The sequence below is a fragment of the Homo sapiens genome, chromosome 13, assembly GCF_000001405.40.
Source record: "Homo sapiens chromosome 13, GRCh38.p14 Primary Assembly".
Lineage (NCBI taxonomy): Eukaryota > Metazoa > Chordata > Mammalia > Primates > Hominidae > Homo > Homo sapiens.
Genome location: NC_000013.11, coordinates 46,573,192 through 46,588,561, shown reverse-complemented (window position 1 = coordinate 46,588,561; position 15,370 = coordinate 46,573,192). Strand labels below are relative to the sequence as shown.

General features: G+C 40.9%; 1 protein-coding gene across 5 annotated transcripts in view, besides 3 other annotated features; it reads right to left on the bottom strand.

Moving 5' to 3' along the window:
• Positions 1-15,370, bottom strand: part of LRCH1 (leucine rich repeats and calponin homology domain containing 1) — a 199,872-nt gene that overhangs the window by 164,480 nt on the left and 20,022 nt on the right. The gene's annotated exons all lie outside the window — the stretch shown is intronic.
• Positions 9,448-9,497: an enhancer, noted in NCBI's record as "active region_7707". NCBI's record gives its function as "activates an Ori minimal core promoter by ATAC-STARR-seq in GM12878 lymphoblastoid cells {active_cell/tissue: GM12878}" and the evidence as "EXISTENCE:reporter gene assay evidence [ECO:0000049][PMID:35858748]".
• Positions 9,818-10,127: an enhancer, noted in NCBI's record as "active region_7706". NCBI's record gives its function as "activates an Ori minimal core promoter by ATAC-STARR-seq in GM12878 lymphoblastoid cells {active_cell/tissue: GM12878}" and the evidence as "EXISTENCE:reporter gene assay evidence [ECO:0000049][PMID:35858748]".
• Positions 10,498-10,547: an enhancer, noted in NCBI's record as "active region_7705". NCBI's record gives its function as "activates an Ori minimal core promoter by ATAC-STARR-seq in GM12878 lymphoblastoid cells {active_cell/tissue: GM12878}" and the evidence as "EXISTENCE:reporter gene assay evidence [ECO:0000049][PMID:35858748]".

Genomic DNA, 15,370 nt, shown 5'->3' with positions numbered 1-15,370 from the left:
AATTAATTAATTTAGGTAGTAGATATACAGATGTGCTATGCTACATAAATTCTTCAATTTTTCCACATTTAACATTTTATACAATAAAAAGCTGGAGGAAGGGATGAAATTCTACTAAGACCTTAAACATATAAAAAGAAAGTAAGTACATCTATAAGGAAATTTAAAGGAGTAAACAAGCAAAGTTACGCCTTATTTACCATGTGAGTAGCAAAGACATCTAATCAGGCTAATAGGTTACTTATTTATCTCTGAAAACGGCTACCACTTTCAGTATCTCAGATTTGTAGGGGTTTTCTACTATAATCTATCCCAGATTGACTATGTAAATAAAAAATATTTTATTACTTCAGATGAGAGCGAAACTGTATGCTTCTGCTTTTCATGCTTTGGTGCACAGCATGTTATAAATATAAATGACTCCAAGATAAGTCAGTCAGGAAAGATCAAATAACTCAGTGTTTTTACAATTCTGTCAGAGATATATGACTGGATTTACCCATTAGGGAGAAATACAGCCTAGAGTTTGCACATTCCTCTGATTTTTCTCATATTAAATTATATTTAAATATTCCCATAATGCTAATAGTCTTAGCCCCAGCATCCCTTACATACTCTATGGTACCACAATGAAATGGAAACCGTAAGAATAATTTCAGCAATTGGGAGGAGGATGCAGAGATTATTAATTTCATACACTGTGTATAATAAGTGCTATATGAATTTTCACTGTTTCTCACAGCTCCTCTAACCCATGCTAAGATTATAATTTCAAGTCTATATCACCACAGATGTTAACAACAATAGATTTATTTCAGCTTTTCACCAACAAAACCAGACCAGGGGCATTTAATGAAGTTCATCTCCAAAAGTTTATTATACAACAACAGAAATAACAATAAGCTACTCTGTAATTTGTCTCTAAGTCCTAACTAACCATGACCGTTAAAAGAAGCATTTACTAAAAAGAGACTCGTTCATCAATTCAGGACAACTGAAATTTTCCTGACTCAAACACTTCCTCTTAGGCATCCACAATTATGTTCCAGTACTCTTGCTAAGAAACTCTATTAAGTTTTTTCTGATACCTTCTTCTTTCACATACACGTAGCATTATCAAAAGTGTCCTGAAAGGCGGTCTAATCTGCCTTAATTTGTCAGTGCCAAAAATCAGTTCCCAGGCCTCAACATTTGTCACTTAATCAGTACTATTGTTTGCACACTCTATTTGTAATGCAACTTATCAGGCTCTTGCAGATGGCATACAACGTATGCCATTCCATTGGCTGAAGAAAGTGTGCCACATATACAGTCAAAGACAAAGAGGGCACCTAAGGCCAACTCTCCACTCTTCTCTAGAATCAGGGCTAATGGAAATAAGAGATTTCACCCTGAACAACTAGTGTCTGTAGGGTGCTATTTTTACATCATTTACAACTCAAGCAACTTGGATTGGTAAAGAAAGGTCCAGATTTATTAAGTCTCTTCTAGTATTTGTCATGAGCTAGTTGATCCTTAGCAAACCACACGGCATCTCCAGGGTCTAAGCCAGAAGCCACTCCTGAGGTCATTTAACGGCCAACTCCTTTTCCTGATTAAGACCCAGTGAGATTCACTGTCTCTGCTGCTAAAACTAAGACAAAATCCTGGGTGAAATGAACCGCATCTGTGCAAAATTCTAATAAACTTTCCTGCTTGGAAAGAACCAATGCCTGAGAAAGCTGCTCATGCCAGAAAAATACAGCCACACATCCCAGGACCTGATCCTGGCGCCTACCCCTCACTGTTAAAGCTGAAGTATCATTCCTTAACCCAGGGAGGGAACTCAATAAACATTAACTGAAGCTGGGCATGGTGGCTCACGCCTGTAATCCCAGCACTTTGAGAGGCTGAGGCCAGCGGATTGCTTTGAGCTCAGGAGTTTGAGACCAGCCTGGGCAACATGGCGAAACCCCATCTCTACTAAAAATACAACAATCAGTTGGGTGTTGGTGGCGTGTGCCTATAGTCCCAGCTATTCGGGAGGCTGAGGTGGGAGGATCCCTTGAGCCTGGGGAAGTGGAAGCTGCAGTGAGCTAAGATTGCACCTCTGCACTCCAGCCTGAGTGACAGAGGGAGACCCTGTCTCAAAAAACAAAAACAAAAACCTAACTGAATGAAAAAATGAATGATGCTCCCCTCAGCCTTGCTATGGCTGTTTCTGGCTGCCAACCACATGTGACAGGCAACCTCTGACCCCACATGTGGCCCTCTGTGAGACCTTCCTGGGCAACAACTATCATGCTTAATTCAGTAAAATGCGCCACCTCTGTGGTCAGACCCCCTGATCTTTCCCCTGCCTGTCATCCTTTCTTCCTCTCTCTCTTTCTTTTTGCAATCATTTACTTTGTGTCATCCAGGAGTTAGCTTTTTCTAGATGCTAGACTGGCAATAAACATGTTCCATTGCCATGTTCCTGGGGCTGGAAGCTGTGAAAAGAATGCACGAGGCTTTTAAAGTTATAAAACTCAAAACAAATTTTAAAATAAAACAAAAGTAAAAACCAATTTTAATGTGCATTTTTCCCCAATACTCATGACTGAGAACTGGGAAATTACAAAACAGGGAAAGCTCTAAAAATAGACACCTGCAAAAAGCACGCCCAAATCTGAATATATGGCTTAGATTTTAAACGGAAAGAAAAAATTACAAAGATTTAAAGCACAGACTTTGTGGTTTGTTCCTTCAGCTGGAAAGGATTTCTTAGTACCGTAATTACATTTATTACATCAATAGCCGAGGAAGGTGGGGGTGGGCAGGGGGAATGACAACGTTCTTTCTTAACTCCAGCAAATCCAGTTACATCCAAAAAGATCGAGAGATGTAATCTAAAGAATGAAAATTACTTGAGTGAGCCACACATATTTACATAAAGCATATTCAGGACAACTAGCTTCAGATCACACTAATTTCTACAAAATCGGTGCAGGTTATAGAAATGCGTTTTTTTGTTTTTTTTTTTTTTTTTTTGAGATGCAGTCTCGCTCTGTCGCCCAGGCTGGAGTGCAGTGGCATGATCTCTGCTCACTGAAAGCTCCGCCTCCCAGATTCACGAGTAGCTGGGACTACAGGCGCCCACCACTATGCCTGGCTAATTTTTTGTATTTTTAGTAGAGACGTGGTTTCACCGTGTTAGCGAGAATGGTCTTGATCTCCTGACCTCGTGATCCGCCTGCCTCGGCCTCCCAAAGTGCTGGGATTACAGGCGTGAGCCACCACGCCCGGCTCTAGAAATGCATTCTTATGAGTAGCAGAATTCCAAGGACCAAATGCTTTTAAAACATCTTACTTAACAAGTAGACTCAGCATGTTTTGAAATACAGGTAAGAAATTCTACCAAATTGTTCCTACTCATTTCTAAAGCCTTACTAAACATGAGAGAAAAAGATATCTGTTCATTTTCAAAGCTGGAAATGTTTCCAGTTACCTATGAAAAATGCAGTTCTTTAAAGAACTACTTCTCAATGTCACTATTACCCCCATAAATTTCCCTTTACTTTCCAGTAGTGAAGCAAGTTGAGAATTCTCTGCTCTTTCATTGCTTAGTTGTATGAAAGTAGTTTGAGAAAGGAACTTTTATGTCAGACCAAAATACATTTCTCCATCAGTTCCCAATTGGCATACAAATTCCATCCATATTTTACATATAGCCTCATCTCAGGAAGATCCACTTTTTTTCGTAGCAACTGTTGCTTTATAAAACATTATTAATCGATTGCATGTGGGTTTTGATTATAAAACTGTCATCAGACTGAAATGGCCATGTTAAAATTAAGAAACAAAAAATGATTAAGTTCAGAGCACTTAAGAGGAAATCAAAGGGACAAAACCTTAAGGGACAAAAGCAACGCAGGTACAGATAAAGAGCCTAAGAAGAAAAACACGGAGTGTAGAGACCATCACAGGCTCCAACAGGAGCTGAGGGGGCTCTGCATCATCATGGGAAAAGAAGGCACCTGCATCTTTGCAACATCAACATCACAAGCTATGCAACCCAGACTCAGGACTGGAGATCTACTTGCCATGTGATAACAGGAAAAATAGTTAACTTTGGTGTCTTATCTCTTCAAACTGTAATGTGCACACAGATCACCCGAAATCTTGTTAAAATACAGACTCTGATTCATGAGGCCTTGGGTGAGGCCTGAGAGCCTGCATTTCCCACCAGCTCCTAGGTGATGCCGGTGCTGCTGGTGCATGGACCATAATTTGGGTATCGAGCTCTCAAATCACATGTGAAAACACTGGGTTAAGGTTGCATGCTATGAGAAACAATGGAGCTATATATGTAAAGTACTTTAGATTTCCTGGGAGAAAGCCACCATGAACTAAACTTAGAACCACCCCAGTGGTGAATTGAACGGACTATAATTGAAGTGTCATAATTATCCTATGTCTTTCAGTACAAATCCCATTGCCTAGAATTTCAGAGTTTAAAGTGGTTAAAGTTTTCAGTCTTTAACCACTGCCTATAAAATACCACCTCTAAAACATATCGAGAAAATATTATTCTATAAGAAGGAAAAACGTGTGAAAAGTAAGTTTCCTGACCTCGTGGAGTTTAAAATCTAGCTGACTAAAGAAAGCAAAATTCCTTGGCTGGGCGCAGTGGCTCACGCCTGTAATCCCAGCTACTTGGGAGGCTGAGGCAGGAGAATTGCTTGAACCTGAGAGGCGGAGGTTGCAGTGAGCGGAGATTGCGCCACTGCACTCCAGCCTGGGGGACACAGTGACACACTGTCTCAAAAAAAAAAAAAATAGAAAAATTCCGTAGCTGAAACAAGAGCAAATAATATAAACACAAATAAATGATTACGTTCAAAAATGTATAGTAATCTAGTCAGATTAAATCACATTGATAACATTTACTCTAGGAAACAGAAGAAAAACCTAGAGAGGTTAGTTACTTTCAACTGTCTAGAATCTAAAAATTAGATATCCTGTCCAAAGGTGAGTACTGACATTAGCACAGGCAGCCAGGAATCTGAAGCAATCTTTGGAGCCATATGTTCACAGAGTGGCTTCTGAGTTAGGAGCTTTCCAAGTTAAAGAGCAAGAGAATAGGTGTGCCTCAGAAGGCAAACAAAATTACGCTATGACATACCCAATCAAGACCTCTAGTGCAGGAAATAGATCATTGACTTAATTTATCAAGAAAGATATCTTGGTACAATAAGCCTCATTCTTTTCAATTTGGCCAGTAATCTCATGGGCTATATTTCTTTAGCACTCAAAAGCAAACAGAATATTAGTGCTTTCAGCATGCCTGAATGAGGATGGACATGAGATTATAGCAAATTTCACCTGAAACTTTAAAAAAGGAAAGCTAGAATCGACTTGTTTTGGTAACTGTCAAAATTAAGCATTTAATGTTAGAACTGACAAACTTACAAAAGATAAAAAGGTTTTGTGTTTTATGATCAGTCCTTAGAGAATCTGTGGCAGAATATTTCTTGAGACTGCAATATATAAAAACTGGATGGTCTCTGACATTGATTAACATGGATTTCTTGGGAACACATTTTTCAGAAATGTAGTCTTTTCCTGCCTCCACTCTTGACTATATATAGAACTGCCATTTGTTTTCTTACTGAGAGAGCAAGTCTTTGTGGTGCAAGGTGCTACCAGATTTGGAGTAGAAGCCTTTTTATTCCTGAGCCCAGTAACCTCTGTGAAGAGCTTGGTAGCAGTTAACTGTTTAACTACATCAAAAGCAATATGTGGCTGGGCACAGCGGCGAATACCTATAATCCCAGCACTCTGGGAGGCCGAGGCAAGCAGATGGCTTGATCTGAGAAGTTCAAGACCAGCCTGGGCAACATGTTGAGACCCCGTCTCTACTAAAAATACAAAAAAAAAAAAAAAAAAAAAAAAGCTGGGCATGGTGGTGCGTGCCTGTGGTCCCAGCCACTCAGGAGGCTAAGGTGGGAGGATCACCTGAGCCCGGGAGGTCAAGGCTACAGTGAGCTAAGATTGTGTCACTGCACTCCAGCAGGGAGTGACAGAATGAGACCCTGTGTCAAAAAAAAAAAACAATATGTTCATCCCTTCATTAAGACATCCAAAGGAACTCAAAAGCAACCATAGAGCATCTCTTATTGATCTCAGCCACTGGAGAGATGAAATGACCAAAAAAAAAAAAAAAAAAAAAAGATGAGAGCAACGGTTGTTCTTCCATTGGTAGGAGTGACTTGTAACAAAGGTCCTTTGTGTCTTTCAACATGCTCAGATTTTTAAAAATATATTTTTCTCTTTCCTTTTTTAAACAGTCCTACTGCAACAGCAATCAGGTTTTTTAAATTGTCAAGATCATGAAATGAGCAGATTTCAGCTATACCCTTCATTTTCTTTCTTTCTTTTTTTTTTTTTTTTTGAGATGGAGTCTCTCTCTGCCGCCCAGGCTGGAGTGCTGTGGCATGATTTCGGCTCACTGCAAACTCCGCCTCCCAGGTTCAAGCGATTCTCCTGCCTCAGCCTCCCAAGTAGCTGGGACTACAGGCACACACCAGCACGCCCGGCTAATTTTTGAATTTTTAGTACAAAGGGGGTTTCGCCATATTGGCCAGGGTGGCCTAAAACTCCTGACCTCAAGTGATCCACCCACCTTGGCCTCCCAAAGACTTCATTTTCCCAAAATAATTTCCAAAAGTCTCTTTTATTGCAAGGATGATTAATTATGGAATGGGGGGACAAAAAAAGAAACAGGAGCATGTGGGCTTGAGAAGGTGGAATATTGATGGCAGTAGGTGGAATATTCTGAAGGCCAAAGCCACCTTTGGTTGTGACTTTTGTCCCGCCTTTTCTCAGTTCAATATAAAGTGGCGAAGGACATTAACTGGAGGCAAACTGCTTGGGTTCAACCCCTGATAGGTCCATTTCTCAACAGAAAAATTACTTACACATTTGTGCTCCAGATTCCTCACATCTAACACGGGGATGAGAATGTCAGACCTTTGTCTTATAGAGTTCTCGTGAGTCTTAGATGAAATAATAAATCGAACGTGCTTGGAACTGTGCATGGTCCACTGTACATGTTCACTGGACGCCAGCTATTCTTACTGTACCTCTCTCTTTCAATTCCCACCTTTGAATCTTTTCTGTCCCACTTCTTTTATTCCACCTATCAGTTCTTTGGTTGTTGTTTTGAATTTATTTCTGTCCCAGGCCTTCCCACCTAGCCTCACTTGAAGCCTTTTCCTAAGACTGCTCCAGGCTCACTTAACACCATACTCCAGTTGCACACAGAGGTCTAGGGGGCTGAGGTGAGGCAGAGGAGGCAAAAGCTCTCCTGTTGCAGGGGCTTCATCCAGGCAATGAAAGAAATGAGGAGATTGAAGGAGCAAAGGAAAACCACACCTGCAAAGTTCCAAATGACATGATGCAGCTGACACATGAACCTGCTTTCTGGTACACAGGGACTGTGTTTTACCTTATTTCATTAACCAAGGTAATGCTAGATCCATTGGTGAGGCAGTCTAGAAGCTCACCCAGTGATACATCCATTAACAAAGAGTAAGTTTCAGCTACACACTTCAAATCCAAAATGTTATTAAAATATGACAACCACTACTAGTATTTTAATGACATTTTGGATTTGAAGAACAACAGAGGCAAGAGCTCAGCCTTTGTGCATAAGCCCCTTTTCCTAGAACTTTATTAGAACCAACTGAAAATTGTGTAATTTGTACCAACTGTCCTTTGGGCTCTGTTCCTCTTTGTTCCAAAAGCTCAGTCCCTTTGATATCCCTGCAACACATTTAAGCATTTCCACTTGGTCCACTCCGTGCCAGAAATGTCTTGCAAGTGACACATTTCTCCACTACGTCTTTGCTAATTAATCTACAGAACAAGAATGGCAAAAAGGGAAGGGACTTTCCTTTTGTTCTCACAAAAGAGTTTGTCATACAAGCCCTGCTACAAAAGGTGAATCAATTGGTGGCTTACGAGTCTTAGAGATTTGTTCCAGGTCAAAAAGTAAGTGTCCCCAATTCCCACGTTAAGACTGTTGGAGCAGAAAGCAGCATGCATGACCCCCAAAGGGTAGCATTACAAGAAAACATGGGTTAGGTTTCCTTGCAGTTTCGCTGCAGTAGTTTCAACTGCTGGGTAGGATGCATACTGCAAATTACCCTTTGGATAATTTCATTCCCTCATTATCACACATAGGATTCTAGCAAGGAAGTAATGACAGAAGGGCCCTACAAGAAAAAGTAAAATAACTCTCTTCACTATCTTAGAATTTCAGATAACAGGCAACAGTCAGGTTATAATTTGATGACAAGAGATATGATCAGTTTTAGAACTCCTTCAGTGAAAATAGTTCTACCAAGCTTTCTCAGAGCTAGCTTATTATCCAAAAATGAGTTAAACAGAACTTATTTAAAAATTAGAGGCAGTAGGAGGAGGACCTGGGAGAGGAACAAATGTTATAAAGAGGTCTTGGGCTAGAAACTCAAAAGAAATGTTCATGCCAAAATGCTCCTAGGGGTTCCCTTGCACATTCCACTTGACTGAGAGGTTTTACTTCTTCATGAGCCACTTTCTAAACCTGGCTTTTTCAGGTACAGACTGCAAGTCTTCTCAAGTTACTCTGAAGCTCCATGAAGTTAATAATGTGACAAGGCTAAGGTTAAGATCAGCCAACTCTTGCTTTGACATTTTAAATTGTCAGATGACTAACAATTTGACAGATGCTTCTGAAACAAAAGTTTTGTTTAAACAAGATTTTTGTTCAATTATTCAGATGTTCGCATTACTCAGGTACATCAAGAACAAAGTAATCAGATGCCTTCCCATGATTTTACAGAAAGACAAACTCTGAAACGGACAAACAAGGTGGTGAAAAGCCAAAAGGTAATTCAGGAAAGATACTGAAGATGATCCGCTCTTGTTGTGGTTATTGAGGTGTTATTCATATTATCAGATTGAGAGTGTTAAACTCCAAGAAAAGAGCTGGTAACCCTATTCCTCAATTCAGCTGAAGAAGTCATTAATATAGGGAAAATAATCTTTTTTTGCCACCAGCTACAAAGTTAGCATATATGGTTAAAAAAAAAAAAGAAAAGAAATTCCAAGGAAGAAAAAATAACTAAAAATAACTCTAGGCAAAAAGACACAATAATTTCAACCTGTCTTATATTGGCAGCTTATTCCATGGAGTTCTGAGATGGTACACTTTTCATAACGACTAATATCTCTCTGAAGAGTTGGAAAAATAAACACTGATGACTGCTGACAGAGCCAGAGTTAAACTGTGTTCTGTGGGTCCGCATCAGGCAGCAATCCAGTGCAACCTTCTGCCCGTAATCAGATGCCATCCACAGTCAAGCATATAAGGGCACTCCTGCTTAGACGAGGGACTGGACCAGGGTTCCAAAAGAAGCATTCCTTTGGAATATTTTGTTTTTAGTCCAAGGGCTACATACAAATTCTTGAGAATGCAGCCCTTTCCCTGCACACAGCGAGCCCCTCTACTTCACTCCCACCACCTACACACCAGGGAGAAACAGCCCAATGTTCTTCATGAGGGAGTGAATTTTGTCGGCCTTAGGTCTTGTCTGAAGAGTTGAGAGGTTGCAGTCTGGCTGTACCAGTGAACAACATAAATAAAGGTAAGGGCCTCAACCCCAGCATCTCCCCTCCTCCCGCCAACCAGGGAGTGCTTCCCTGTCCTTTCTGGCATGAAGGCCACACACCCTGTACATCCCCCTCCCACAATGTAAGCATCTGAAGGCCACACACCCCGTACATCCCCCTCCCACGATGTAAGCATCTGACTGCATAATTCAAATCCAAGCTAGCAACAGTTGTTTCTGCACCAGCTCTCAGGGACTGCCCCAGTTGCTAAGCTGTTTCAGTTCTCAAGGGAGTCCAAAAGACCAGCATATTATTTTTAGAGGGGATAAGGGAATTGAAAAACAGAAATAGGTTATTCTTAAGGAGAAGAACATGGTACTTCTGGCTGAAATGCTGGTTCTTACCATCCAGCAAGGCACTTAGAATGCATGCAATTGTTAATCAGACAGACAAAGACTTACTGTCTGTACATTACCAGGCTCCAGCCTTCATATTTTCCTCCGAATTTTAATGAGATCCTCCAGCTGCTATTAATGTGTCATCCTTTTGCTTCTGCGATGCACTAAAAGCAGCAATGTTTATATAAGGTGGCACCCAAGCCCAAGAACTGATGGGGAAGCAGGGCCATTGTCTGCATGGGAAGCTTCTAAGGCTGGGCAGTGGTATTAAGTCATGGAGACTTTCACTATGCAGGCGCCACAAAGCACGCATCCTTTCTGCTCTTCCAAATTAAACACAGACGACCACAGTTCCATTTGATTTTTAAAGCTAACCGCAGCCAGGAGATTTTGAAATGAAGGCTTCCTTTCCACACCTAATGCATCTCACTGTTGGAAGAGGTGGGGCAGAGATGGGGGAGGAGGTGCCACATGTGCCTGTGATTATAAGGGAGCAAATAAAGACTCACACTAAGTTTTTCTCTCAGCCTAAGGCAGAGGCTCAATCTCTGGAAACTAAAACCAAAGCTGACGGGGATTCCCTTTAGTGGGCACCACTGCCCTTCTGCATCCCCCATGGCTATGCCACAGGAGCAGAACCAAGGAGAGGCTCCCAGCTCTTGTTCTCTAGCAATTGTAAATGACAGCAGTCTGGAGGGTGGGGAGAACTTCTTGAAACCACCACCGGAAATCGGTCCAAAATAATGATTTCCTTCTCGTTCTCTTTTCTCCTTCCTTCCTTTCTTGCTGTTTCTTGTCTGCTTATGTCTTATAGTTACCAAGAAGCAGCTCACTAGTGATAAACTGTTGCAACTGCATTCTTCAATAAGGAACTCAATACCTTCTCTCACTCATGCTACAAAAAAAGCTAGTTGCTGTGCTTCCAGCTATCAGAATTCATTCATTTCATTCATTCCTTCTTTCAACACTATATCCACCCTGTATAACCTACCACCTTTTGAGTATAGGTAGGACCTGTGAATATGATGGGATATCATTCCAATTATTGTGTCATCTTAAATGGCAAAGGGATTTTGCAAATATAATTAAGGTTAATCAACTGTTGAGTGGGCCTGACCTAATTAGGTGATGCCTTTAAAAGAAGAACTGGGGGCCAGGTGCAGTGGCTCATACCTGTAATCCCAGCACTTTGGGAGGCCGAGGTGGGTGGATCACTTGAGGTCAGGAGTTCGAGACCAGCCTGGCCAACATGGTGAAATCCCATCTCTACTAAAAGATACAAAAATTAGCCAGGCATGGTGGCGTGTGCCTGTAATCCTAGCTACTTGGGAGGCTGAGGTGGGAGGATCATTTGAACTCTGGAGGTGGAGGTTGCAGTGAGCCGAGATGGCACCGAGGTTGCACTCAGCCTGGGCAACAAGAACGAAACTCTGTCTCAAAAAATAATAATAAAATAAAAGAAGGACTGGGGCCCACCCTCAAGTCAGAGACCTTTTCCTGCTGGCCTGAAAGAAAAAAGGCCACCATGAGTTCCACAATCACAAGGGACCGAATCCTGCCAACAACCTCGAAAGCTTGGAAAAGGACTCCAAGCTTCAGATGAGAGAAGCCCCAGCCAGTTCCTTGAGTACAGCCTTGTGAGACCTAGGGCAGAGAATCCAGCCAAACTGTGTCTGGACTCCTGATCCATAGAAACTGTGCCATCATAAATGTGCATCATTTTAAGCCACCAAATTTGGGGCAATTTCTTATGAAGTAATGAAAAACGAATACAAATGCCAACATAGTCCTAGCACTGTAATGGAATGCTGGAGACTGTAGACAGAGAAGTGCAATACAGTAAGGTGAATAATGATAAAGGGTAAATATAAAATTCTACTGAACCTCAGAAGGGAGCCTCTAATCCTGGCTGGGCCAGGTTGAGAACATTGAAAGGAAAGAGGCATGGCTCTCCAATATTCCGAAGGACACCACAGGAGACAACATGTAAAGCTCAGGGCTCTAATCAACGATAGCAATGTGAACATGTTGTGATAGCCTCCTTGGTCTCAGAATGGTCTCAAAATATGCACAGATCATTGGCATAGGGAGCGCAATTATTTCTGCTGAGTTCAGCAGCAACTGACAACTTCACTCAGGACTCCCAGTTATCAGAAGCCAAGGCATTTAAATGGTTTCACTTGGGAATTCTAACAAGTTTTTTCCCAACAATCTTAAGTCTACGGAAAAAAATTAGAACAAGACATTCTTATTTAGGGCCTGCCTAAAGGGAGCATTAGTATTAAAATATGCTGCCATGCATGAGAACCTTGCTAAAACTGCCTTTGAGTTTCTTGTTTCTCTGGCTTAGGAGACTGCCCCATAAGTTACATGAACAAAAGGCTCACGGCAAATGTCTAATCCAGCTGGCTTTCTCCTGGTCGCCAGCAAGCCTCAAGCCTGCCACTTTCTTTGGCCATAATCAGCATGTGCTTAAGGAATGCTGACTAATTCCAACGTTTGTCCAGGCAGGACACAGGGAGGTAAATCCACTGCCAAAAATAAAAATGCATTCCAAAGTCGAGTATTAGGTCACTCTGAGATGATGTACTATTTTATATCACTCCTGCCAATCCTGTGCTGCCGTTAATCAAGCTCATTCTCTCTCCCTCTGGACTTCTCAATGGATCCTCTTCACTCAAGGACTCAGGAGCCTGCTTCATTCTCTCATTTTAGCCAAAAAGAGCTTCATACATGCATTTCAGGAAAAATTTAAAGAGAGAGAGAAAGAAAACATGACTTACCTAAATATAAATTAGGCAATGGTTTCTGTATCATTCAATTCCATTTAAATCCATCCCATGAGCACACACTGATCTTGCTTTCAAGTCATTGTCCAAAGTTGAGGAAGTGTTGCTGACATCTAGTCAACACAAGAAGCTGACAAGCAACAGCTGTGCAATGCTTTGAAAACCCCTTCTGGAGGATTTTTGCAAGTAGGAATGAGACCACATCCCCCCCACAACACACACACACACACACACACACACACACACACATTCATGCACAGATTTTTCAGTTATGCTGCAGAGCAATGTGTCCTTCAACTTAGAGAATCATTTGTGTGCACAGCACATGAATGAGAAAGCCCTCCCACGCCCAGTTCTATCACCAGAGTCACAAGGTTGCAGTAAGAGCTCTTTATTTAGATAATCACACACGCATCTTGTGGTTCTGTGACTCTAAGTCATACGATAGACTATCTTCATCAATGTCTGGGGTGCACAGCTGAGCTTAAACTCCACTCCTAAAAAAAAAATTAATACAATTATTTGTGCTGGTGATGATAGAGGGGACCAGCAGCACTGCACCCTATCCAGCAGTTCTCTGTTCCTGTGGTCAGAGTCATTGACAATGTAGAACAGGAATGAAAGGAAGGCTGGACCCTAAAGAGGATTTCTGCCTATTAAAAGATGATGGTTCTTGTCCAGTAGGTATATTTTGGTTGGAACTTTTCATTTATCCCACTATCCATTGATCAAAAGGATTGGAAACTGTTATTCCAATATTCCAGAATGTGCTTATAGATACATCATGTAAACCTCATCCAAAGGCTAAACAGAATATTTATTATTACCACTGCCAAAAAGGACTTTGTTTGGATTTTGCTTTCCAAACACACAAGGAAAAAATTAAGAAAAAGCAATAAATAGCCCATACACCAAAAAAAAAAAAAAAAAAAAAAAACCCCACACACAAATAAATGCCAGACAACCGAAAGTAAACAAGTGCTTCATAATCATTTTTAAGTTACATGGGTTGACTTTTTAAAAAACCTTTTAAATGATTAAAATGTGTTTAACTTCCTTTTACAAGTTTTAGAATATGCGTATAAGTTTGTATGTTTGAAGAGAGGGAATAATTGAGAAGGAAATGCTTTAAAAAGTGGGGAAGTGGGATCTACAAATAATTATTTTAAGTCTTCTAATGGATAAAGAAAAAAAGTGCTCTTGTTTATCAGTCCACCACTCAACATAGTCGGAAAATGCCACTTCTTCCTTGATGCCATACAGCATGGTGTCCCCGTTCTTCCCTTGCATTGACACTTAGCACCTTTGGTTATTATAGATCTCTAGACTTCTCCTTCACTTGACTAGCTGGAAGCTCTAAAATGCAGGCAACACCACTTGTTTTGTATTTTTTAATGTTAATTTTTTTTAATTTTTAATTTCTGGGGGTACATAGTAGGTATATATATTTATGGGGTACATGAGATACTTTCATACAGGCATGCAATAATCACATCAGGATAAATGGGTATCCATCATTTCAAGCATTTATCCTTTGTGTTACAAAGGATAATTATACTCTTTAGGTTACTGTAAAATTATATTTAAATTACAATTAAATTATTATTGACTATATGGTCAGGCACAGTGGCCTGTAATTCCAGCACTTTGGGAGGCCGAGGCAGGCGGATCACCTGAGGTGAGGTCAGGAGTTCGAGACCAGCCTGGCCAACATGGCGAAACCCCGTCTCTACTAAAAATACAAAAATTAGCCGGGCATGGTGGTGTGTGCCTGTAATCCCAGCTACTTGGGAGGCTTGAACGAGGCAGGTGGAGGTTGCAGTGAGCTGAGATCATGCCACTGCGCTCCAGTCTGGGGAATAGAGTAAGACTCCATCTCAAAAAAAAAAAAAATATATATATATATATATATATTTGACTATAGTCACCCTGTTGTGCTATCATATACTAGATCTTGTTCCTTCATTCATTCTATTTTTCATACCTATTAACCATCCCCACCTCCTTCCCATCCCTCCACTTCCCATCCTCTGGTAACCATCATTCTACTCTCTATGTCTATGTCCATGAGTTCAACTGTTTTAATTTTTAGCTCCTACAAATAAGTGAGAACATGCGAAGTTTGTCTTTCTGTGCCCGGCTTATTTCACTTAATATAATGATGTCCAGTTCTATCCATGTGGTTGCAAATGACAGGATCTCATTCTTTTTATGGCTGAATAGTACTCCATTGTGCATATGTACCACATTTTCTTTATCCATTCATCTGTTGATGGACACTTAGGATGCTTTCAAATCTTGGCTATTGTCAACAGTGCTGCAACAAACATGGGGGTGCAGATATCTCTTTGCTGTACTGATTTTCTTTCCTTTGGGCATATACCCAGCAGGCACCAAGTTTTGTTCACTCCTGTCTAGGAAGCACCCAGCACAGAGTCCAGCCTTCATGCATTCCATTCATTCATCCAGCCATTTATTCACTTACTCGGCTCAAATATTTACTAAGCTGCTACCATGGGCAGACACTGTCCTAGGAACCAAGGATAGTAGTTACATGAGAAAAGAGAA